Source organism: Homo sapiens, chromosome 17 (genome assembly GCF_000001405.40).
Source record: "Homo sapiens chromosome 17, GRCh38.p14 Primary Assembly".
Classification (NCBI taxonomy): domain Eukaryota; kingdom Metazoa; phylum Chordata; class Mammalia; order Primates; family Hominidae; genus Homo; species Homo sapiens.
In genome coordinates, this window is record NC_000017.11 from 18,859,583 (window position 1) to 18,886,270 (window position 26,688).

The 26,688-nt window shown below is 44.7% G+C and overlaps 1 protein-coding gene across 20 annotated transcripts in view; it reads left to right on the plus strand.

Annotated features, from left to right (window-relative positions):
* Nucleotides 1–26,688, plus strand: part of PRPSAP2 (phosphoribosyl pyrophosphate synthetase associated protein 2) — a 74,989-nt gene that overhangs the window by 3,284 nt on the left and 45,017 nt on the right. For 7 of the 20 annotated variants that reach the window (XM_047436415.1, NM_001353101.2, NM_001353098.2 and 4 more), the window contains 5 exons: nucleotides 6,220–6,370; nucleotides 7,700–7,752; nucleotides 13,001–13,067; nucleotides 18,116–18,288; nucleotides 22,986–23,101. In XM_047436415.1, the coding sequence (XP_047292371.1) occupies nucleotides 6,220–6,370; nucleotides 7,700–7,752; nucleotides 13,001–13,067; nucleotides 18,116–18,288; nucleotides 22,986–23,101 (560 nt within the window). Of the gene's footprint in view, nucleotides 1–5,886; nucleotides 5,983–6,219; nucleotides 6,371–7,674; nucleotides 7,753–13,000; nucleotides 13,068–18,115; nucleotides 18,289–22,985; nucleotides 23,102–26,688 lie in introns of those variants that run through there. The other 13 variants (NM_001353106.2, NM_001353102.2, NM_002767.4 and 10 more) reach the window with 5 other exon arrangements.

Here is a 26,688-nt window from a genome sequence, read left to right on the forward strand (position 1 = left end):
ATGAGTTAACATTGTGTTGGAGAGATAAGCAGAGCCTGGGATCATACAGGAGTGGAAGAGTAATTCGGTTTAGAATTTGCCCTTCAAATTCTCATCAATATTGATATTAAAAACAGATTTCCTTGGAGTGAGGCACATCACTAATAAACATACATAATAAGTTTTTTTATTTTTATTTTTTTTGCAGAGTCTTGCTCTGTCTCCCGGGCTGGAGAGCAGTGGCGCGATCTCAGCTCACTGCAACCTCTGCCTCCCGGGTTCAAGCGATTCTCCTGCCTCAGCCTCCTGAGTAGCTGGGATTACAGGCATGCGCCACCACGCCCGGCTAATTTTTTGTATTTTTAGTAGAGACAGGGTGTCACCACGTTTGTCAGGTTGGTCTCAAACTCCTGACCTTGTGATCTGCCTGCCTTGGCCTCCCAAAGTGCTGGGATTACAAGCGTGAGCCACCATGCCCATCCAATAAACATAAATTTTTATACTTTTTAATTTTTTGACACAGAGTCTTGCTCTGTTGCCCAGGTTGGAGTGTAGTGGCGCGATCTCAGCTCACTGCAACCTCTGCCTCCCAAGTTCAAGCGATTCTCCTGCCTCAGCTGCGCAAGTAGCTGGGGTTACAGGTGCATGCCACCACACCTGGCTCATTTTTGTATTTTTTAGTAGGGGTTTCGCCTTGTTGACCAGGCTGGTCTCGAACTCCTGACCTCAGGTGATCCGTCCACCTTGGCCTCCCAAAGTGCTGGGATTACAGGCCTGAGGCACTGCGCCTGGCCGGTTTTTATACTTTATGATGCCTTTTAGTTCATCTTTCAATTTCATTTGTTAATCATTGTGACTCATTGAAGTCAGGCATTATTCAGCAATCATTTGTTTAGCCTCTACCGTGTGGCAGCTGCACAGGGTATACAGCAGAGAATATCATGGTAAAAAATAGTCTCTGCTGCCTGGACCTTAAATTCTGATGGGGAAATCTTTTTACCAAGGTTATATCTCTTGTCTGGAAGGTAAAGGCTGAGGCCCAGCAAGGACAAGTGATGTCCACATGGCCTAGTAGCTGGAAGGCAAACCCAACTCTTCACACTCCTACTTCAGCCATCTTTAAGTAGAAGGTATTTACACAGTAGATGCTTTAGAGGGAAGACAACACACTTCAATGTGAGTCTTCCCCATCTGAAATGTGGGTGAGTGGTTTTGAAATGACTGCTAGTCTGTCCAAAGGAAATGATCTCTCAGTGTGGTTTCTTCATTCATGAGACTTAACATTCTAAAATCTTATTCAAAAGAGGAGTATGATTTGCTCTTTAAAAGGTGCTAAGATTCTCTGAAAACGGTGTGTTTTCATACATGTTATAAATAATTCTCACACATTCTAGAGTAAATTTAGAATAAACATAAAGCAGTTATAGCTCATGGGGAAAATAAGGGAGTGTTCTCATTTCACACTAAAACCTTGTGCTAACAAGCCTCCTGCCAGCCCCATCTCGATGATTATTATGTTTTTGAGGATAGTCTTTATAACTCTTTTCTTGAAGCTTGGTAAAGAACACAGCCTTAATTACCAACAGGAGAAAGGAGAACTAAAACTACAAGCAGGCATTATGGCCGGGCGCAGTGGCTCATGCCTGTAATCCCAGCACTTTAGGAGGCTGAGGCGGGTGGATTACCTGAGCTTGGGAGTTTGAGACCAGCCTGACCAACATGGAGAAACCCTGTCTCTACTAAAAATACAAAATTAGACGGGTGTGGTGGCGCATGCCTGTAATCCCAGCTACTCAGGAGGCTGAGGCAGGAGAATCGCTTGAACCGGGGAGGCGGAGGTTATAGTGAGCCGCAATCGCGCCATTGCTCTCCAGCCTGGGCAACAAGAGTGAAACTCCATCTTAAAAAAAAAAAAAAGAAAAAAAAGAAAAATAAACAGCCCTTATGTTTGAATAACTTGTGAAGTGAATAGTCACAAAACATGACTATGTTGATAGTCATTTCCAAGTGGATGCTCCCCAGTCCACTCCACCATGTCATTTTGAGGGTGGTCTTAGGTTAGGATTCTATATAGAAGCCTATATCTGAAGTCTAGAACGTCAGAGACCACATGCAGGGTGTTGCAGGCCATTTTAAACCATGAGAGATAAGGAAAGACTTCAGGAAATATCCTGGAAAAAATATACAAAGGCAGGAGAGCTATCTTGAAATAGTTTGGAGGCCATCCTGTGGAAAAGGAATTTGATGTTTCCCATAAATCTCTAAGGAGAGTACAAGAACCAGTGGGCAGAAGCTGCAGGAAGAGGAATCTCAGCATGTTCTTTTGTTTGTTTGTTTGTTTGTTTTGAGACAGTCTTGCTCTGTCACCCAGGCTGGCGTGCAGTGGTGCAGTCTCTACTCACTGCAACCTCCGCCTCCCAGGTTCAAGCGATTCACCTGCCTCAGCCTCGTGAGTAGCTGGGACTACAGGTGTGTGCCACCAGGCCTAGCTAATTTTTGCATTTTTAGTAGAAATGAGGTTTCACCATGTTGGCCAGACTGGTCTTGAACTTCTGACCTCAGGTAATCCGCCTGCCTCGCTCTCCCAATTTGCTGGGATTATAGGCATGAGCCACGGCGCCTGGCCACAGCATGTTCTAAGGAAGAATTTGGAATGATGGGCCCTCAGCGGATGTGGGCATCAGACCCTGGGGCTGTTCAAGCTTCTGTTGAGTGGTTCCTTGGCAGGATTCCTACAGATGGGCTTTGAACAAAAGATTTAGGAGGGATGGGCTGAACTACCTCTAAGATCTCTTCCTACCTCTAAAATACTTTCATTCTAAGTGTTCCAACTCCTATCAGGAATCCTGCTGTACTTTAAGGAGCTTCTTATTTGAAGGTTAGGGGGTGTAAAAAAAATGCCCCTCCCCCCATGGCTGTTACTGTACTTATATGGTAGATAATCAAGATGTTAGAAGTCAGTTCATAGGTAGCATGTCCGATATGCAGGGCACTGTGTTAAGTGCCTTGCAGAAATTTTACAGTCACCTGTGGGGTCAGTTTTCACAGTTGTATGGATGGCAGAACTGAGGCTAAGAGATTTTGAGTATTAGATAACTTATGCAAGTCCTCACTGTGAGTTTAGGGGAAGTATTTCAAGATGCAAACATGAGTTTGACTCCAAATCCTGTATTTACAACTACAGGAAAATTAGTTTGTTTTTATTTATTTTCCTGGACCTGTAACACCCTTTTATTTATTTATTTATTTATTTATTTATTTATTTATTTATTTTTCTGAGACAGAGTCTCGCTCTGTCTCCCAGGCTGGAGTGCAGTGGCATGATCTCAGCTCACTGCCCACTTCGCCTCCCAGGTTCACGCCATTTTCCTGCCTCAGCCTCCCGAGTAGCTGGGACTGTAGGCGCCCACCACCACGCCCACCTAATTTTTTGTATTTTTAGTAGAGACGGGGCTTCACTGTGTTAGCCAGGATGGTCTTGATCTCCTGACCTCGTGATCCACCTGCCTCGGCCTCCCAAAGTGCTGGGATTACAGGCATGAGCCACCGTGCCCGGCAATTTTTTATTTATTTATTTTTTTATTTTTTTGAGACGAGGTCGCATTCCCATCGTCCAGGCAGGAGTGCAGTGAAGTGGTGCAATCATGGCTCATTGCAGCCCTGACCATCTGGGCTCAAGTGATCCTCCCACCTCATTTTTTGATTTTTTTGTAGAGACTAGGTCTCACTATGTAGCCGAGGCTGGTCTCAAACTCTTGGGCTCAAGCAGTCAGCCCACCTTGGCCTCACAAGGTGCTGGGATTAGCGGTGTGAGTTGCTGTGCCTGGCCATACCTTTTGTTCTTAAACACACATGTTTATTGGTTGAGAGATGGCTTTAGAAGTATTTAAGATCCCTTCCAGAATGTTGATGATTAAACGTATTCTTTCTTTCTTTTCTTTCTTTCTTCCCTTTCTTTCTTCTTCTCTTTTCTTTTCTTTTCTTTATTTGAAACGGAGTCTCGCTCTGTCGCCCAGGCTGGAGTGCAGTGGCGCGATCTTGGCTCACTGCAAGCTCTGCCTCCTGGGTTCATGCCATTCTTCTGCCTCAGCCTCCCGATTAGCTGGGACTACAGGCACCTGCCACCACGCCCGGCTAATCTTTTGTATTTTTAGTGGAGACAGCGTTTCGCCATGTTGTCCAGGCTGGTCTCGAACCCCTGACCTCAGGTGATCCACCCACCTCGGCCTCCCAAAGTGCTGGGATTACAGGCGTAAGCCACTGCGTGGCCTTTTTTTTTTTTTTTTTTTTTTAATTTTTTAGATGGAGTTTTGTTCTCATTGCCCAGGTTGGAGTGCAGTGGATCTCAGCTCACTGCAACTTCTGCCTCCTGGGTTTAAGCGATTCTCCTGCCTCAGCCTCATGAGTAGCTGGGATTACAGGCATGTACCACCATGCCTGGCTTATTTTTATTTTTATTTTTTTGTATTTTTAGTAGAGATGGGGTTTCACCATGTTGGTCAGGCTGGTCTCGAACTCCTGGCCTCAAGTGATCTGCCCACCTCAGCCTCCCAAAGTGCTAGGATTACAGGCGTGAGCCACTGTGCCTGGCCGTATATAATTTTTATGGAGGTCACATGTATAAATGCATAGAAAAAGTCTTATGTTGTCCCTACCAAACTGATAAGAACCCTCACTTCTGGGGAGGACCTGGGATCGAGGCTGGTGACTTTATCCTTAACTATCATGTTTCAGGTTTTTTTTTTTTTCTGAGACGGAGTCTCGCTCTGTTGCCCAGGCTGGAGTACAGTGGTGCAATCTTGGCTCACTGCAACCTCTGCCTCCTGAGTTCAAGCGATTCTCAAGCCTCAGCCTCTAGAGTAGCTGGGACTATAGGCAGCCACCACCACGCCCAGCTCATTTTTGTATTTTTAGTAGAGACAGATTTCACCCTTTTGGCCAGGCTGGTCTTGAACTCCTGACCTTGTGATCCGCCTGCCTTGGCCTCCCAAAGTGCTGGGATTACAGGTCTGAGCCACCGCGCCCAGCCATGTTTCAGGTTTTTATAGGGAGGATGTGTTTGTGTTTTACTTGTATAATTAAAATTTGAGAATAATGAAAAAGATTAGCTTAGTTTCAGCTCATTGATGATCTACACCAGCCTTCCCAGAGGTCCCAGGTGAACATACAACTGTGGAAATGCAGTGGGCTTGCTGAGAAAGGGCCCCCCTGCCCACAGCCTGCTGGATTGTTGCTGTTCCTCCCATCTAGCATCTCCATTATGTGATGAGGACACTCAGCAATGATGACGACTTTTTTTTTTTGAGATGGAGTCTTGCTGTGTCGCCAGGCTGGAAGTGCAGTGGCACGATCTCAGCTCACTGCAACCTCTGCCTCCCAGGTTCACGTCATTCTCCTACCTCAGCCTCCCGAGTAGGTGGGACTACAGGCACGCGCCACCATGCCCAGCTATTTTTTGTATTTTTAGTAGAGACAGGGTTTCACCATGTTGGCCAGGGTGGTCTTGATCTCTTGATCTCGTGATCTGCCTGCCTTGGCTTCCCAAAGTGCTAGGATTACAGGCGTGAGCCACCACATCTGACCAGCACTGATGATTTATAAGCCAGGGACCTTTTTATTTTTGGCCCACTGCCAAAATTTGGGTGTGACCAAAACTGTCATTTGGGTGGTCGCTTAAGTGTCCTTCAAGGTGATTATCTAGTCAGCCCGTGTTCCACTTGAGGAAAATGAAGATGAGAGGTCAGTTTTAGACATGACACAGGGCAGCTGAAAGGCCGGGAAAGGTTTTATGGTAAACAAGGATTACAGGAAAAGCTGGGTGTAGATGGGTCATTTATTCTTTGTCTAAGGATTAATCAGTCCTTGTTCTCGCTAATGGCTCTGCCATTTTTCTGTGTGTTAATCCAGGAGGAATTTTGTTGTCAGAGAATAAAAGGAGGTTGTCCATAATTGACTTTAAGCAGCAATCAGTAAAACATTGAGCTCTTCAGCTCCGCCTTTCTTGTAAGTTTATCATTTCTTCTTAGTGGTTGTGAACATCATGTGATAATGTATTTCCATAAATTTAGGACCCTGAAATCCAACTGAACTTTCTGTTTGTCCATATATATCTAATATTTAAAAAATACTATTAGGATGGAAACTAATTTCCTTCAGCTGAAGTCATTTCCTTTAAAAAAAATTCATTCAGGTATATTTCATATCATATGGCAGTTTTTAATAAGTATTATATCCTTCTAGGCTCTGAAAATTGGAAAACCAAGAAGGTTTTGATGTTTTGTGTGACGCCACCTGAATTAGAAACCAAGATGAACATAACCAAAGGTGGTCTGGTGTTGTTTTCAGCAAACTCGAATTCATCATGTATGGAGCTATCAAAGAAAATTGCAGAGTGAGTTATAATTGTACCATTAAAATCTATATTCATTATGTGATGCTTTAAATTTGATAATCAGATTAGCAGTTATTGTTAAATTTGAAAGCAGATATTTTATAATTATAAAATAATTATATCTTTTTTTCATCATGTATCTTTTTTTTCATCATGCAAGATGTTCATGTAGTATGTCTCATCTGTATATATTAAGGGCTATTCTTTTTGTAAACTATCCCATCTCCCTACATATTCTTTCAGCAGACATTTATTGAGTGCCTTATAAGTGCCAGGGATTGTGTTAGATGCTATATATATATATAATTATTTGAGTATAAAGCACACTGGGGCCAGGCGCGGTGGCTCACGCCTGTAATCCCAGCACTTTGGGAGGCCAAGGCGGGTGTATCACGAGGTCAGGAGATTGAGACCATCCTAGTTAACAAGGTGAAACCCCGCGTCTACTAAAAATACAAAAAATTAGTTGGGCGTGGTGGCGGGCACCTGTAGTCCCAGCTACTTGGGAGGCTGAGGCAGGAGAATCGCTTGAACGCAGGAGGGTTGCAGTGAGCTGAGATTGCACCACTGCACTCCAGCCTGGGCAACAGAACGAGACTCTGTCTCAAAAAAAGAACATTAACATGTATATTATATGAAATAACTTATAGCTTATAGTTTAGTATAATTTTAGATATTTATTAAACAAATATTGTACCCCTACTACTGTGTACTAGACCTTGATCTAGATGTTGGGGATTATCAGTGAGTCAAGATCCATCCTTTTTATGAAATTTACATTTTAGTATGGGAGCCAAACAGAAATCAAGTCAACAAAACAAACAAGGTAATTTCAGATGATGTCAATGCTATGAAGAAAACTGTGTGAAAGTAATGATGGGGCAGGTTGTTCTGCTTTAGCATGTGTGCTGAAGTGCTTTTAAACTGAAGGGATGGTGTGTGAGTTGAGAAACCTGAATGAGCCACCAAGTGAAGGTCTGGAGGCAGAACCCCCCCAAGCAGAGGGGACAGCAGATTCCAAGCCTCTGCAGCATGCAGGAGGAGTTCTTGGTGTGTCTCAGGAACGTGGGCTGGAGTACAGAGTGTCCAAGGAAGATGGCTAGTGAGGCAGGCAGAGCGGGACTGCATAGTCCTTCCTGGGGAGACATGGGGTTGGGGTGAGGGGCTAGGTAATGGATTGATGTAACAATTTAATGTTGACTTTAAATTTTATAAGAAGAATAACTTTATTTTATTTTACTCTTATCGATTTACGAGTCTCCTTAAATAGTAAAGATACTGGGTTTCTTCTATTACTTTTTCAGCTTTTTCCCCCTTTCTCTTCTCTAGGCGGCTAGGGGTGGAGATGGGCAAAGTGCAGGTTTACCAGGAACCTAACAGAGGTGAGCTATCTTGGGCATGTGGAACATTGACCTTTTTGTGAAATGTGGCATATTGGCTCCGTCCTTCATCCTTTACTATTGAAACGATTTGATTCAGTTGTACATTTCCATTAGCAAGAAGTCAGGCAGGCAAGGTAGAACAGAGTGGTTTTTTAGCTCTCACTAATACCAGCTAGATATCTAACCCTGGTGCAAGTCATTTCTGGGGCTTGAACTGCAGTTCTGAGACTTCATTCAGTAAAAGCTGCAGACATATTTGAACCAGCTGGTCAACTGAATGAACATGAGCTCAACTGTTGCTTAAATTTATGTCACCTTAGGAAGGATGAGTAAATCCTGTCACCTTAGACAGGATGACTAAATCCTGTGTGACCGCAGTTTTAGTTAGTCTTTATTTGCACCTAAGCTGCCTTGGGTTAGACTTCATAAAATATTGTTAAGAAATACTTTTTGCTAATTGATACATGTCATTACATAATTCTCCCAAGTTGTAAAAAGAAGTGTTATTTAACCTTTGTAGGTCCAGGTGTGCTGGCTCATGCATCTAATGCCAGCACTTTGGGAGGCTGAGGCAGGCAGATTCCTTGAGCTCAGGAGTTGAGACCAGCCTGGGCAACACGGCAAAACCCTGTCTCTACTAAAAATACAAAAATTAGCCAGGAGTGGTGGTTTGCACTTGTAGTCCCAGCTACTAGGGAGGCTGAGGTGGAAGGATCGCTTGAGCCCAGGAGGTGGAGGCTGCAGTGAAGTGTGATCATACCACAGAGTGAGACCCTGTCTCAAAAATAAATAAATAAATAAATAGAAAGTGATCTTTGTAATTTCTTTAGCAATGGTGGATATTTGAAATTATTTTAGGCCAGGCGTGGTGGCTCACGCCTGTAATCCCAGCACTTTGGGAGGCCGAGGTGGGCGGATCACCTGAGGTCAGGAGTTCGTAGACCAGCCTGGCCAACATGATGAAACCCTGTCTCTACTAAAAATACAAAAATTTGCTGGGCTTGGTGGCAGGCGCCTATAATCCCAGCTCCTGGGAAGGCTGAGGCAGGAGAATCGCTTGAACCCGGGCGGTGGAGGTTGCAGTGAGCCAAGATTGTGCCATTGCACTCCAGCCTGGGGGGGAACAAGAGCGAGACTTTGTCTCAGGGGAAAAAAAAAAAAAAAGAAATTATTTTAGCAGGAGCGATGGACAGCTTGCATGGGCTTGAGAGTTACACACCTTATCCTTGACAAGTTATTTAACCTTTCTAAACTATAAATAAACTGTAAATTAGGGCTGTTTTGAGGATTAAGTGGGATAACTTGTGTGCCTACCAGTTTTTGGCACACAGTAGGTGCTCAATATATACTTATTCCTGTTCCTTTTCCACTAGAAGATTTAAAAAAACATTTTTTTTTTTTTTGGTAGAACAAGGGTCTCATTATGTTGCCCAGGCTTATCTCAAACTCTGGGCAAAAGCAGTTCTCCTATTTCAGCCCCCCAAAGTGCTAGGATTACAGGTGTGAGCCACCAGGCCTGGCCCCTCTACAGGATTTTATCAAATATTTACATATTATAAAGCCTACAGGAGGCTTTGATAAAAAGGCACAAGTTTTGCTGTTCCCATGTTTATCTCCGTTCCTGCCTCTTTTCTGTCTCCCAAGATCCCTATGTGGCGTCAGTAGGGAAAAAGTATAATTAAACTCTGCAAGGAGAGTTTGGAGAAGATTCTTCCTCTAGAGGGGATTGAATGATGTTCTTTGTCTGGAGTCTAGGAGGGAAGGTGAAAGGGAGAAGCAGTGGCATAAGACTCCAGGAGACTGGTCCACTCTCCAAGTTTCTGAATAAAGGGAGAGAAAATACTTGGTGTTTATTGGGAAGGAAGGAAGTAATATTTGTGAATTTCTTACTGTTACCAGATACTGAAAAACTGAGTTCAGGAGTTCAGGGATTGATGTTAGGTACGAGGTCCAGTTTGAATCCAGATCTCCCTGACTCTAAAGCTCATTTTCTTTTCTTTTCTTTTCTTTTTTTTTTTTTTGAGACAGGGTCTTTCTGTGTCACTCAGGCTGGGGTGTAGTGGCATGATCAGGGCTCACTGCAGCCTCTGCCTCCTGGGCTCATGTGCTTCTCCCACCTTAGCCTCCCCAGTAGCTGGTACTACAGGTGGGCACCATGCTGCCAGGCTATTTTTTTTTTTTTTTTAAATATGGAGTCTTGCTCTGTCACCCAGGCTGGAGTGCAGTGGGGCAACCTCGGCTCACTGCCACCTCCGCCTCCCAGGTTCGAGTGATTCTCGTGCCTCAGCCTCCCAAAGTGCTGGGATTACAGGTGTGAGCTACACACACACACCCAGCCATAATTTTTTTTTTTTTTTGATACGGGGCTTTGCCATCTTGCTCAGGCTGGTAAAGCTCATTTTCTTAACATCATACCACATTTCTTTTGTAAACTTGTATTCTGTTTTTTCCAACATTTTTTTTTTTCTCTTATCCTCACAATCTGTTCCCATTTTGCTACTTTTTTTTTGTGTGTGTGTGTGTGTGTGTGTGAGACAGAGTCTTGCTCCATTGCCCAGGCTGGAGTACAGTGGCGCAATCTTGGCTCACTGCAACATCCGCCTCTCAGGTTCAAGCGATACTCCTGCCTCAGCCTCCCAAATAGGTGGGCTTACAGGTGTGTGCCAGCACGCCCGGCTAATTTTTTGTGTTGTTGGTGGAGACGGGCTTTCACCATGTTGGCCAGGTTGGTCTCAAACTTCTGACCTCAAATGATCATCCACCTCAGCCTCCCAAACTATTTTCCTACATTTTTAATGAAAATGTTCAAACATATAAAAAAGTTGAAAGAATAGTACAGTGAACTACCGCCTAGCTTGAACAGTTAACATTTTGCCATATGAATATGTATGTGGCGAACCATTTGAAATTAAGTGCAGGCCGGGTGCGGTGGCTCACTCCTGTAATCCCAGCACGTTGGGATGCTGAGCTGGGTGAATCTCTTCAGCCTGGGAGGTCAAGACTGCAGTGAGCCATATTTGCACCACTGTACCACAGCCTAGGCAACAGGGCGAGATGTGTCCCAAAAAAAGAAAAAAAATGTAAGTTGCAGACAGTTAATCCTTGAATACTTGACCATGCATCCTCTAGGAATAATTACTTTCACCTAAATAAATATGATACCATTATCACATTTAAAGAAATTAACTACAGGCAGGGCATGGTGGCTCACACCTGTAATCCCAGCACTTTGTGGGGGTCAAGGTGGGTGGATCACTTGAGACCAGAAGTTTGAGACCAACCTGGGCAACATGGCAAAACCCCATCTTTACCAAAGATAAAGAAATTAGCCAGGGTTGGTGGCACACAGCTGTAATCCTAGCTACTTGGGAGGCTGAGGCAGGAAGATCACTTGAGTCCGGGAGGTGGAGGTTGCAGTGAGCTGGGATCACGCCGCTGCACTCCAGCCCGGGCAACAGAGCAAGACCTTGTCTCAAAAAAAAAAAAAAAAGAAAAGGAAAAGAAAATTAACTTAACAATTAAGGACAATTCTTTTTTTTTCTGTGGCCTCAAGTGATCTGCCCGCCTTGGCCTCCCAAAGTGCTGGGATTACAGGTGTGAGACACCGCACCCAGCCCAACAACAATTCTTTAATCATCTAATATATGGCCTATATTCACATTTCCCTAATTGTCCTAAAGGGTCTTTTATTTTTTATTTTTTTGAGATGGAATCTGGCTTTGTCACCCAGGCTGGAGTGCAGTGGTGCGATCTTGGCTTACTGCAACCTCTGCCTCCCAGGTTCAAGCAGTTCTCCTGCCTCAGCCTCCTGAGTAGCTGGGATTATAGGTGTGTGCCACCAAGCCCAGCTAATGTTTGTATTTTTAGTAGAGACGAGGTTTCACCATGTTGGCCAGGCTAGCCTTAAACACCTAACCTCAGATTATCCGCCTGCCTGGGCCTCCCAAAGTTCTGGTATTACATGTGTGAGCCACCGTGCCCAGCCTAAAGGGTCTTTTATAGTTGTTTTTTCCAACACCTCCACCCCAAACCAGGATTCTTAGTTCAAGGGATTTTTTTTAAAAAATATCTCTTTAGTCTCTTCTATTTTAGAACAATCCCCTCACCTCTTCCGTTTTCTTCCTGTGACAGTGAAGAGGTTGTCTTGTAGAATGTCCCATTATGGATTTGTCTAATTGTTTCTTTATGACTGATCACACATATTTTGAGAGTAGGGATATTAGGTCTTATTTATCTTTGTTTCTCACAACATACAATGTTTTGTACCTAATACATTCTGAATTGATAATTGATGCTGATTGAATGAGTATATAATTTTCTTTTTTTTTTTTTTTTTTTTTTTTGAGACGGAGTTTCGCTCTTGTTGCCCAGGCTGGAGTGCAATGGCACAATCTCGGCTCACCGCAACCTCCGCCTCCTGGGTTCAAGCGATTCTCCTGCCTCAGCCTCCCGAGTAGCTAGGATTATAGGCATGCACCACCACGCCTGGCTAATTTTGTATTTTTAGTAGAGACGGGGTTTCTCTATGTTGGTCAGGCTGGTCTCGAACTCCTAACCTCAGGTGATTTGCCCGCCTTGGCCTCCCAAAGTGCTGGGATTACAGGCATGAGCCACTGTGCCTGGCCTATGATTGTCTATAAAGATACTGTGCTCAGGCTGGGCACGGTAGCTCACACCTGTAATCCCAGTACTTTGGGAGGCTGAGGCAGGCAGATCGCGAGGTCAGGAGATCGAGACCATCCTGGCTAACATGGTGAAACCCTGTCTCTACTAAAAAAATACAAAACAGTTAGCTGGATGTGGTGGCGGGCGCCTGTAGTTCCAGCCACTCGGGAGGCTGAGGCAGGAGAATGGCATGAACCCAGGAGGCAGAGCTTGCAGTGAGCCAAGATCGCACCACTGCATTCCAGCGTGGGCGACAGAGCAAGACTCCGTCTCAAAAAAAAAAAAAAAAAAGTTACCATGCTCGGAGTGGTACAGCACTCAACTGTTTGTATATATAAGGGGTGAGAATTATACATTTACTTATTTCAAGTCAGAAATGTAATTCTCTCTTAAAGCTGTGTTTTAAAAAGTGATTAATGGCAGTATGTGTATTATCCCTTGTAACATCTAAAGCCTACTGAGTCTTATAACAGTTTGAGTTGCCATATTCTATTACATTAGGGAATAATACAGATTTTTTTGTGTATTTTGAAAAATTTGAACTATATGCCTTTCCCTCTCTTCTTTTTCCTTTTCCTGCCAGAAACAAGAGTACAAATTCAAGAGTCTGTGAGGGGAAAAGATGTTTTCATCATCCAAACTGTTTCGAAGTGAGTATCCAGCAAAAGTGTTGCTTTCTGGGTTTCAGTTTAGGCATGAGTGTTTAAAATAATGATAGATGGCTAGCCAGGAAGAGTTATAATAGTCTTAAAATTAGTATATCTTACCAATTTAGAATTTAGAAAACTAAGTTTTCTGACATAACTGCTGACTTTTACATGTTCTTTCAGTGTTTTTCCTTCTTTCTTTCTTTTTTTTTTTGAGACAAAGTCCCACTCCTTCACCCAGGCTGGAGTGCAGTGGTGCAATCTCAGCTCACTGTAACCACCTCCTCCCAGGTTCTAGTGATTCTCTTGCCTCAGCCTCCCGAGTAGCTGGTACTACAGTTGGCGCCACCACGCCTGGCTAATTTTTGTATTTTTAGTAGAGACGGGGTTTCACCATGTTGGCCAGACTGGTCTTGAACTCCTGACCTCACGCAATCTGCCCGCCTCGGCCTACCAAAGTGGTGGGATTACAGGTATGAGCCACCGTGTCCAGCCACTCAGTGTTCTTAACGGGTGGAAATAACCAAGTATTGGAGTAGAGGCTCTTTTTTTTTTTTTTTTTTTGAGACAGAATTTCACTCTTGTTGCCCAGGCTGGAGTGCAATGACGCGATCTCGGCTTACCGCAACCTCAGCTTACCGCAACCTCTGCTTCCCAGGTTCAAGCAATTCTGCCTCAGCCTCCTGAGCAGCTGGGATTATAGGCATGTGTCACCACGCCCGGTTAATTTTGTGTTTCTAGTAGAGACAGGGTTTCTCCATGTTGGTCAGGCTGGTCTTGAACTCCCGACCTCAGGTGATCCACCTGCCTCAGCCTCCCAAAGTGCTGGGATTACAGGCGTGAGCCACTGCGCCCAGCCTGGAGTAGAGGCTGTTAATGATAATAGTATACATTAAGTTTCCTAACAATTAACAGCCAGAATTTTGTAAAACTTGCAAGGAAGCATTTCTAGTTCCCTCCTCTCCCCAAAAGAAACAGAGGCTAGGGGAGGAGACCTTTCTTAGTTGGGGTTCTTTAAGCTTTTATTGCATATAAAAGTGATCATTATTTACTGTTTTATTACATAAATTAGCTGAGAGGATAAAAAACTGTACTGAAGGAATGTGTATTCCTGTCTGGTGTGACCTTTGACACACCTGTGTTCTGGAAATTGTTTGGTCACATATGTTTAAGCTAGGTATAGAAGATTCAATGCAGCAAGGCTGTCTCTGGCACTCTGGAAGGGAGGGTGATCACCTGGAGCCCTACTTTTTTTTTTTCTTTTTCTTTTTTCTAAGAGGTAGAGTCTTGCTCTGTTGTCCAGTCTGGAGTGCAGTGGTGAGATCATAACTCACTACAACTTCAAACTCCTGGGCTCAAACTATCCTCCTCCCTCAGCCTCCCAAGTAGCTGGGACTACAGGCATGCACCAGCATGCTCACCTCGTTTTTTCATTTTTTGTAGAGATGGAGGTCTCACTGTATTGCCCAGCTGGTCTCAAACTTTTGGCCTCAAGTGATCCTCCTGCCTTGACCTCCTATATTGCTGAGATTCCAGCAATATAGAAGGTGAGCCTATCACACCTGGCCTTAAAGCCCCACTTTCCATTGTGTGTTTGTCCACAAATGTCCCTAAATGCTTCTGTGTATGAAGTTCTTCGCTCAGAACAATTTTTAATGTCTAGAAATCAGTTTGTCTAGTGCATTATTTTTTAGCTTAGAGAGTCTGAAAGTTGCTGCATGCTTAATTTGTGTATATACATATATAAAACCAACGAAAGGGAAAAAGAAGGCCATTTCGGGAGACTTTAGTCTTGGAACACACATTTTTTTCACCTAAATTTTGAACATTTTCTCTCCTGGTCTTTGGTTTATTGGGATGAAGTCACAAAACCCCCATCTCTCCTGGGAAGAGGAGTGGCAGGGGAGACCTGTCCTTGCATCCTATAGCCCTGGCAAACGGGTGTGCTCTGAAGGAGGAAGGGTGTGGAGGGCCTTTGCCACGGTGCCCTAGCTTCACCTTCTGCTGTGACACCCAGGATTCTCAGCAGAGCTGGAGGTGGGGGCACGGAGCGCCAACTGCCCCTGCTGCTGCTGTCCTCTTTCCCCTTTCCCACGTCTGCCACCAAACCAGGGTGGAAGTGGAGGACTCACCTGTGCCCACATCTTAACCCTTTACCTCCAGCATCGGGGTAGGGAAGGGGCGGGCACAGAACAACTTAAACGGCTTCTGGCTCCTTGGTTTCTGTGTCTGTGGTACTTTTATGTCCTTACAGACAAGTGTGATTCCATTGGATAAATGCACAGAGGTTGTGTGGATTACCCAAGGGGATGGGTAGGCATTGAGGGCACCCCTGGACTTAGAATTTAGGACTTCAGAAGGGTGACTGCTGATCCTTCTCATTTTCAAGTCCTTCTGGTTGTTTATTTTTGTACATTTCAATACTTATCCTGTGCCCCTGTCTTTTGTCAGTTTCATATTCCTCTAATCAGAATCACTCAGCACCCCTTTCATTTTCTCTCCGTGTCTCATTTTGCATTGTTCCATACCTGACATAAGCTTGTGTTAACTCGGGTTCTCAGTCTTGTCCATGTTGCAGAGTCTGGACGTCATGGTCTTCTTTGTGAAATACCATGAAATAACATTTAGTGTTGAGGGCCAGATGTGGTGGCTCATGCCTGTAATCCTAGCACTTTGGGAGGTCGAGGTGGGCATATCAGTTGAGGCCAGGAGTTTGAGACCAGCCAGGCCAACACGGTGAAACCCTGTCTTTACTAAAAATACAAAAAATTAGCTGGGCATGGTCATGAGCGCCTGTAGTCCCAGCTACTCAGGTGGCTGAGGCACGAGAATTGCTTGAACGCAGGAGGCAGAGGTTGTAGTGAGCTGAGATCACGCCACTGGATTCCAGCCTGGGTAAAAGAACAAGGCTCCATCTCGAAGTAAAAAAAAAAAAGGCTGGGCGAGGTGGCTTACACCTATAATCCCAGAGCTTTGGGAGGCCGAGGCGGGCAGATCAGGAGTTCAAGACCAGCCTGGCCAACATGGTGAAACCCTGTCTCTACTGAAAATACAAAAATTAGCTGGGCGTGGTGATATGCGCTTCTAATTCCAGCTACTTGGGAGGCTGAGGCATGAGAATCGCTTGAACCCAGGAGACAGAGGGTGCAGTGAGCCAAGATGGCGCCACTATACTCCAGGCTGGGTGATAGAGTGAGACTCTGTCTCAAAAAAAAAAAAAAAAAGCCTGTAATCCCACCACTTTGGGAGGCCCCAGGCGTGCAGATCACCTGAGGTCGGGAGTTCAAGACCAGCCTGACCAACATGGAGAAACGCTCTCTCTGCTAAAAATGCAAAATTAGCCGGGCATGGTGGCGCATGCCTGTGATCTCAGCTACTCGGGAGGCTGAGACAGGAGAATTGCTTGATCCTGGGAGGCGGAGGTTGCGGTGAGCCGAGATCATGCCATTGCACTCCAGCCTGGGCAACAAGAGCAGAACTCCGTCTCAAAAACAAACAAACAAAAAAATGATTTAGTGTTGTCAGATACATCTTATACTTCATTTTACTACAGATTAGTGCTAGCACTAAAAATAAAAGAGAAATTTAAAATTAAGAAAATTCCATCCATTAACTGAAGTTTTCCTGTATTTCAAACAAGACTGTCCTTATCTGAGTTCAGTAATGGAAAGCCTTGTTCCTCCACTCTTATCCTTCCCATAGAATACTTTTCTGAAAATCTTTTTTTTTCCTAAGTTAATTAACAGGGTGAAAGTCTCTTTTAACTCATCAGATGTCAGACTTGTTGTATAGTGACAGAGAACCTACTCACCTGAATGTTCTGTGTTTCCATTCACTCCTTCTTTCATTAACAAATACTTATTTTGAATGTCTACAATATGTGAATTACAGTTAGTTACACGTATGCAGGATGCCTCCATGATTAAAACAGAGAAAGTCCTTGTCCTTGTGGAGTTTATATTCCAGTGGAGGAAGACATAAAGTGAGCATAATAAAGACATAGATTATCTAGAAGGTGATGAATGGTTTGGAAAAAAATAAGACAGCATGGTGAGATGATAGTGGTGAGAGGGCAGAGAGAGGCAGACAGGGTAGGCCTCATTGTGGAGGTGACATTTGAACAGAGACTAGAGAAGGTGAGGGAGAGTCAGGTGACTAGGTGGGGAGAAAAGCATTGCAGGCAGTGGGAACGCCTAGAGCAAGCCCCTTAGCGGTGTGAGCTGCTGTGGGAGGACTGAACAGGGTCAGGTGTGGCCAGGCAGGAGGGGAGGGGCAGATCCTCAAGTTTGGACTGGAGTTGTAAATTTGAGAGTTGCCACCATCTATGAAGCTGTGAAATTAGATGAGAAGCCCAAAGGACGAGAGGGAACAGAAAGAGAGGACACATGAGCAAGTCCTGGGACGTGAGGCTGGGGAGAAGAGGAACCAGCAAAAGAAACCAAGGGTGGAAGGAGGACACCAGAGAGGGGCATTCTGGAAGCCAAGTGACCGTGGACATGGCCGCATGGAGGCCACTGATGACCTTTATGAAAACAAAGCTTCACTGGACTATTTGGGAGAGACTGAGAGTAGATAAATTGGAGATAGTGTAAGATGTACAGCAAAGGGGAGCAGAGGGGAGAGTGGTTATGAGTCGTGTTAATGGAAGTAACAGAATGTTTGTGGCCGATGGGTTATCAGTGGTGGAGGCAGGAGAGGAGAGAGAATTCCTTACATAGGTGTGCCATTTGGAGGGATTAATTTTAGGGCCACTGGCATGGAAATTTCCTCTGACTGATGACTGAGGGCAGGCCGACTCCTGGGGCACAGATGCACATAGTGGGAGCTTGTGGACACGCTCCTCTGAGAGTACTTAAGTAGGGTGGTCAGTTGAGAGCAGATGATGGGGGATCTTATGGAGGCCTGAGAAAAGAGGAATTTATTGGTTGGTTTTTTTCTGCCTTGCACCTTAGGTTGTATAAAGGCATGAGTAACACACTGCTGACACTTTTTGGAACAGGGAATACTGTGTTGTAGATCCCTTGATGAGATTTGCTGTGTCTTTGTTACAGGGACGTGAACACCACCATCATGGAGCTCCTGATCATGGTGTATGCATGTAAGACCTCTTGTGCCAAGAGCATCATTGGCGTGATACCCTACTTTCCTTACAGCAAGCAGTGCAAGATGAGAAAAAGAGGCTCCATTGTCTCTAAATTGCTGGCTTCCATGATGTGCAAAGCTGGTAAGAATGGCAGATGTTTCACAATTAATTGGGGGCCTGGGAGTTTTATTTATTTATTCTCTCTTTTTTAAGACAGGGTCTTGCCCTGTCACCTAGGCTGGAGTGTAGTGGCGTGATCATAGCTCACTGCAACTTGAACTCCTACAGTCAAGCAGTCCACCAGAGCCTCCCAAGTAGCTAGGACTATAGGCACATACCACCCTGCCTGCTAATTTTTAAATTTTTTGTAGATACTGGGTCTTACTATGTTGTTCAGGCTGGTTTTGAACTGCTGGCCTCAAGGGATGTTTCTGCTCCAGCCTCCCAGGGTGCTGAGATTATAGTCATGAACCACCATACCCTGCTGGAGTTTTATTTTTACCTTAGAAATATCAAAGTAATGGCTGGGCACAGCAGCTCACGCCTGCAATCCCAATGCTTTGGGAAGCTATGTGGGATGATCTTTGAACTCCTGGGCTCAAGTGATCCCCCTGAGTAGTTGGAACTATGGACATATACCACCGTGCCTGCCTAGATAGGCATATATTGGAAAAGATACATATTATTCTGTGTCAGGCATTTTCAGGTAACAACCTAAGTATTTTTCCTGTGTTTCTAAATAACCTTCATAGTTGTTATTGGGTATTTGTGTCAATATATTTGTGTTTGTGTGTGTGCGCGCTTGTATAAGTGTATATGATTTTATTTATTTATTTATTTATTTTGAGATGGAGTTTCGCTCCTGTTGCCCAGGCTGGAGTGCAATGGCATGATCTTCGCTCACCACAACCTCCACCTCCCCGGTTCAAGCGATTCTCCTGCCTCAGCCTCCCAAGTAGCTGGGATTACAGGCATGCGCCACCACGCCCGGCTAATTTTGTATTTTTAGTAGAGACAGGGTTTCTCCATGTTGGTCAGGCTGGTCTCAAACTCCCGACCCCGCCTCAGACTCCCAAAGTGCTGGGATTACAGGCGTAAGCCACTGCACCCGGCCTATGATTTTTTTATTTTAATTTTTATTCTGTTTATTTATTTTTTGAGACGGAGTCTTGCTCCGTTGCCCAGGCTGGAGTGCAGTGGTGGCACCTCGGCTCACTGCAACCACTGTCTCCTGGGTTCAAGCGATTTTTGTACCTTAGCTTCTCTAGTAGCTGGGACTACAGGTGCCTGCCACCACACTCAGCTAATTTTTGTATTTTTAGTAGAGATGGGGTTTTGCCATGTTGGCCAGGCTGGTCTCGAACTCCTGACCTCAAGTGATCCACCTGCTTTGGGCTCCTAAAATTCTGGGATTACAGACACAAGCCACCATAGCCAGCCTGAATGTATATGATTTTAGAAGGTATGTATCACGGAGCATTTGCACAGAGTGAATAGAATAAAAGTCCCCATATCACTGCATTTTAAGACAGGTACTTACTGTAGAATAAACCTTTTTTTTTGTTTGTTTTTTGAGACGGAGTCTTGCTCTGTTGCCCAGTCTGGAGTGCAATGACGTGATCTTGGCTCACTGCAACCTCCACCACCCGGGTTCAAGCAATTCTCCTGCCTCAGCCCCCAGAGTAGCTGGGATTGCAGGCACACACCAACATGCCCAACTAATTATTATTATTTTTATTTTTTATTTTTGAGTCTCACCTGTCATCCAGGCTGGAGTGCAGTAGCGTGATCTCGGCTCACCGCAACCTCCACTTCCTGGGTTTAAGCGATTCACCTGCCTCAGCCTCCTGAGTAGCTGGGATTACTGGCGCCCACCACCACGCCTGGCTAATTTTTGTATTTTTAGTAGAGACGAGGTTTCACCATGTTGGCCATGCTTGTCTCGAACTCTTGACCTCAGGTGATCCACCTTCCTCAGCCTCCCAAAGTGTTGGGATTACAGGCGTGAGCCACCACGCCCAGCCCAGAATAAACTTTCTAAGATAGTTTTTCAGTAAAGGCAAACGTAAAACAAACATTTAAAAACTAGGCAGGGTGTGGTGGCTCACGCCTGTAATCCCAGCACTTTGGGAGAACCAGGGGGCGATCACCTGAGGTTGGGAGTTCAGAGCAGCCTAACCAACATGGAAAAACCCCGTCTCTACTAACAATACAAAATTAGCCGGGTGTGGTGACACATGCCTGTAATCCCAGCTACTCGGGAGTCTGAGGCAGGAGAATTGCTTGAACCCGGGAGGTGGAGGTTGTGGTGAACCAAGATCATGCCGTTGCACTCCAGCCTGGGCAACAAGAGCAAAACTCCGTCTCAAAAAAATAAAAATAAAATTAAAAACTCAACCCGAAGCAACCTCAGGAGCCTACCCCATTGTAAACACTATGACAGGCAGCTGGTGAGGAGAGCAGGCTTGCCTGCTGAATCTTCAGGAAAGGGCCCATCTTCTCTACCAGCCTTGCTTGATGGGCCTCCAGACTTACTTTCCTGTTCTTTTGGGCAAGTAATGCTTTAAACAATTTTTCATACTGAATTTTCCTTACACTTTTCTGGTGATCGTTACAAAGGTGGTGAAGGTTTTCTGTTTTCTCCAATTTCCAGGCTGGTGCAGTTTGTCTTGATATCTTTTTTTTTCCCCATGGGTCTCAGTCCTCTTGCCCGGGCTGGGGTGCAGTGGTGTGATCACTGCTCACTACCAGGAGGTAGCCTTGACCTCCTGGGTTCAAGTGATCCTCCGACCTTAGCTTCCAGAGTAACTAGGGACTACAGGCATGCATCACCATACCTGACTAGTTTTTTGTATTTTTAGTAGAAATGGAGTCTCACCATGTGGCCCAGGCCATTTTCAAACACCTGGGCTCAAGTGATACTCCTGCCTCGGCCTCCCAAAGTGCTGGGTTTACAGGCATGAGCCACCACACCCGGCTGACTTGTTATCTTAAGACTGGACTTTGCCATGCCTGTTAAACTTCAAGAAGATTTGATCTGCTCTAATATAATTTTTAAAGACTCTTCTGTATTACTGTTATCTTTGCTATATTATGACTATTTTTTATTTATTTATTTTTTCGAGATGGAGTCTCGCTCTGTCGCCCAGGCTGGAGTGCAGTGGCATGATCTCAGCTCACTGCAACCTCCACCTCCTGGATTCAAGTGATTCTCCTGCCTCAGCCTCCCTAGAAGCTGAGATTACAGGCACATGCCACCACACTTGGCTAATTTTTGTATTTTTAGTAGAGACGGGGTTTCACCGTGTTGGCCAGGCTGGTCTTGAACTCCTGACCTCAGGTGATCCGCCTGCCTCAGCCTTCCAAAGTGCTGGGATTACAGCTGTGAGCCATCGCACCTGACCAAGACTTTAAATTGATGTGAAAATCAGGCATCTCACAGTACTAAAAAAAAAAAAATTTTTTTTGAAAAATACAAGTGCTGAGTTTTTTTGATGGTAGAACAATTTTGTCTTTTTTTTTTTGAGACCAAGTCTCCCCCTTTCACCCAGGTCGGAGTGAAGTGGTGCGATCTCGGCTCACTGCAACCTCCGCCCCCCCAGGTTCAAGCGAATTCTCCTGCCTCAGCCTCCCGAGTAGCTGGGATTATGGGCACGTGCCACCATGCCTGGCTAATTTTTGTGTTTTTAGTAGAGATGAGGTTTCGCCATGTTGGCCAGGCTGGTCTCCAACTCCTGACCTCAGGTGATCCACCCGCCTCGGCCTCCCAAAGTGCTGGGATTACAGGCGTGAGCCACCGTGTCCGGCCTTATTTTTTATTTTTTTGAGGCAAGATCTCACTCTGTCACCCAGACTGGAATGCAGTGGCTCAATCTCAGCTCACTTGCAGCCTTGACCTTCTGCACTGAAGCGATTCTCCCACCTTAGCCTCCTGAGTATCTGGGACTACAGATGTGCGCCACCATGCCTGGCTAATTTTTGTTTTGTAGAGGCGGGGTTTTGCCATGTTCCCCAGGCTGATCTCAAACTCCTGAGCTCAAGCAGTTTGTCAGCCTTGGCCTTCAAAGTGCTAGGATTACAGGCGTGAGCCACTGTGCCCGGCCATGAGAGCAATTTTTTTTTTTTTTTTGAGACGGAGTCTTGCTCTGTCACCCAGGCTGGAGTGCAGTGGCATGATCTTGGCTCACTGCAACCTCTGCCTCCCGGATTCAAGCTATTCTTCTGCCTCAGCCTCCCAAGTAGCTGGGACTACAGGCACACGCCACCACGCCCAGCTAATTTTTGTATTTTTAGTAAAGATGGGGTTTCATCATATTGGTCAGGCTGGCGTTGAACTCCTGACCTTGTGATCCACCCACCTCGCCCTCCCAAAGTGCTGGGATTACAGGCGTGAGCCACAGTGCCCGGCTGGAGAGCAATTTTTTAATAGTAACTTATTGTATATAGTATTTTATGTAGTACCTATTTTATACAGTGCAACTTGTTTTTAAACTGTTTATAGGCTGGGTGCAGTGGCTCATGCCTGTATTCCCAGCACTTTGGGAGGCTGAGGCAGGAGGATTACTTGAGGTCAGGAGTTCGAGACCAACCTGGCCAATATGATGAAACCCCTTCTCTACTAAAAATACAGAATTATCTGGGCGTGGTGGCATGCACCTGTATTCCCAGCTACTTTCAAGGCTGAGGTGAGAGGATTGCTTCAGCCTAGGAGTTCAAGGCTGCAGTTAGCTATGGTCATGCCACTGCACTCCAGCCTGGGTGACAGAATGGGATCCCATCTTAAAAAAAAAAAACAAAAACAAAACTATTTATTGCTTGTGTCTGCTTTATTTTCAAAGGTCTAACTCATCTTATTACTATGGATTTACACCAGAAGGAAATTCAGGGCTTCTTCAATATTCCTGTTGACAATTTAAGAGCATCTCCCTTCTTATTACAGTATATTCAAGAAGAGGTGAGCTAGCTCAAACTTTTTTATTTTAACATTCTGATTAAGGTTGAAAGATGTATTTCCATTTCCTTAGGATACCCCTAAAGGATTAAAACTTGATGTATTGTACTTAAAGTACCATTATACTTTATAGCTATAATCCAACGCATTTTAGAATTCTGAATCTGCAGTTTGTTTCTTTAGATAAGCTCTTAAAATTGCTTTTTCTTTTGGACCTCAAGTACCTAGAATTGGACTAGATATGATTGTAATGAGTAATTTACTCTCATTACTAGTCTATGCTTGATCCTGGTTCTGTTTTATGTATCCATCTATCCATCCTGTCTCTCTGTCCATCCAGTTATAATAGCCAGCATCCATGATCCCACCTCCCAGCAAGAAAACTAGAGTCATCATCATAACTTAGAGCTGCTCATGGGCTCCTTCTCTGTCCTATCCCCCTGCCTCCTTCCACCCTAGGGAACCACTGTCCTGAAGCGGTGCTGAATCTGTCAGATGCTTTTTCTGTATCAGTGGAGATGATCATTTTTTTTCCTTCATTCTGTTAATGTGGTTTATTACCACCCTTGAATCCTGGGATAAATCAGATGTTTAATTTTAATATAGCTACATTTGTTTTTCTTTGATATGAGTTAGCATTTTTGTGACTTACTATTTAAGAAAGCTTTTAAAATGTTAATTTATACTGTACTTAGCTATTTTGCTTTTAGCTGTTTTTCTTTCTTTTTTTTTTTTTTTGGTGGGGGGTGTGATGGAGTCACTCCCAGGCTGGAGTGTAATGGCGCAATCTCAGCCCACTGAAACCTCCACCTCCCGGGTTCAAGCAATTCTCGAGTAGCTGGGATTACAGGCATGCGCCAACACAGCTGGCTAATTTTTTGTATCTTTAGTAGAGATGGGGTTTCACCATGTTGGCCAGGCTGATCTCGAACGCTGACCTCGTGATCTGCCTGCCTCGGCCTCCCAAAGTGCTGGGATTACAGGCATGAGCCACCGCACCTGGCCTTAGCGGTTTTTCTTATATAAATTATTTCTCTCTTTAATAACTTTTCTAGATAACTTCTTTTTACAGTACTGTATTTAAAAGAAGATAACTTCTTTTTACAGTACTGTATTTAAAAGATGGCAGTTTATAGGTTTCTGAGGAACTTCTTTCTGGTAAGAATACAGGGCTTCCCCATTCTCCAGCAATTGTTATAAGTCCTTATAGAGAAAATGAATTTAAGTATTTTTGAAAGAGAAAAATGTAAAATATTCTGCTTTTTTTTTTTCTTTAAAGTTACACACAAGAAACATAAAAACTCTACGCCAGGCGCAGTGGCTCACGCCTATAATCCCAGCACTTTGGGAGTCTGAGGCGGGTGGATCACTTGAGGTCAGGAGTTCAGACCAGCCTAGCCAACATGGTGAAACCCCATCTCTACTAAAAATACATAATTAGCTGGATGTGGTGGCGCGTGCCTGTAATCCCAGTTACTTGGGAGGCTGAGGCAGGAGAATTGCTTGAACCTGGGAGGTGGAGGTTACAGTGAGCCAGGATTGTGCCACGGCACTCCTGCCTGGGTGACAGAGCGAGACTATCTCAAAAAAACAAAAAAGAAAACAAAAATACTCTAACAAATTAAAAAAATAATAGAGACTTTAATTTTACCTGAAAAATTTTATGTTTTTTTTTTGAGACAGGGTCTTTCTCTGTCACCCAGGTTGGAGTGCTGTAGTGCCATGATAGCTCACTGCAACCTTGAACTCCTGGGCTCAAGAGATTTCTCCCACCTCAGCCTTCTGAGTAGCTGAGACTAGAGGTGTGCCACCACACCTAGCTAATTTTTAAAAAATATTTCCAGAGTCAGAATCTTGCTGTGTTACCCAGGCTGGTCTCAAACTCCTGGCCTCAAGCGATCCTCCTGCCTCAGCCTCCCAAAACAGTGTGATTACAGGTGTGAGCCACTGTGCCTGGCCTAATTTTACCTGAATATTATTCTTAGTTGAGAGAGAAGGTGAGATAAAATTGGCAAATGTCTTGATAGGGAAGGATGAAGAGGTTTAGGCAGAGAGAGAGTGAGAGGGTGAGCATTGAACGTGGTTCAGTTAGCAACCAGCCGCATGGAGAAACCTGTCATTTTGGAAGAAATAGAGCAGTCGCTATAGACTTATGTGGGTTGCTGTCGACATCTTGTTGTTTTAGGGGATGTTTCCATTCAGGACACAGGCATGTTGTGTGCCAATGTCTCAAGGCACAAATGGCAATTGCACCTCTTAAGGGATGCCCGGTGGGTGAGCCTAAAGAACGAAGGCTGGGGCACCCTTGTGCTGGTTGCAAGGTCAGGCTGGAAGCCTAACGCTAGTCATTGCCTGTAGTGCAGGCTTCTACCTGAGGATGACACTGCCTTCTACTTGAAAAAATCCCCATTTTAGTTTCATTGTTGAGAAGAAGTCAGGGCTGAGTGTGGTGGCCCACACCTATAATCCCAGCACTTTGAGAGGCTGAGGAGGTTGGATCAGTTGAGTCCAGGAGTTTAAGACCATCCTCGGCAATATGGCAAAACCCTGTCTCTACAAAAAATATAAAAATTAACCAGGTGTGGTGGTGCATTCCTGTGGTCCCCCCTACTCAAGAGGATGAGAAGTGGGAGGATTGCTTGAGCCTGGGAGGTTGAAGTTGCCCAGGTGGTCGAGGCTGCATCAAGCCGTGATCTGGGCGACAGAGTGAGATTCCTTCTCACAAAAAAAAAAAAAAAAAAAAAAAAAATTAATATGTGGGAACTCAGTGTTAAAAAGGAATTTTTGTGTATTGCTTTTTTCTTTTTTTTGGAGACAGTCTCTCTCTGTCACTCAGGCTGGAGTGCGATTTTGGCTTACTGCAGCCTCCGCCTCCTGGGTTCAAGCAAGCATATCTGGCTAATTTTTGTTTTTTGTTTTTTTTTGAGATGGAGTTTCGCTCTTGTTGCCCAGGCTGGAGTGCAATGGCATGATCTCGGCTCACAGCAACCTCCCCCTCCCAGGTTCAAGTGATTGTCCTGCCTCAGCCTCCCGAGTAGCTGGGGTTACAGGCATGTGCCACCACACCCGGCTAATTTTGTATTTTTAGTAGAGACAGGGTTTCTCCTTGTTGGTCAGGCTGGTCTCGAACTCCTGACCTCAGGTGATCTGCCCACCTTGGCCTCCCAAAGTGCTGGGATTACAGGTGTGAACCACCGCACTTGGCCTAATTTTTGTGTTTTTAGTAGAGATAGGGTTTCACCGTGTTGGCCAGGCTGGTCTTGAACTTCTGAACTCCAGTGATCTGCCTGCCTCAGCTTCCCAAAGTCCTGGTATTACAGGCATGAGCTACTACACCTGGCCTGTATTGCCTTTTTATAGTATACGTATCTTGTCTCTTTTGTTTTCGTGTGTTAGAGCCTCTTAAAGCAGGGGATAGATATTCATGTTTCACTGAATCTAAGGTGCTGTCAGTCCAGGCTTACATTATTTTACGTCACCAAGAAAGAAGAAAACACTGCTAATTATACTGTGGCACTGTGCCTTCTTGTCACTTAGTGATCCTATTCTGCAGGTTTTGATGCTGACGCTTTCTCCATCTCTTGTGTTTG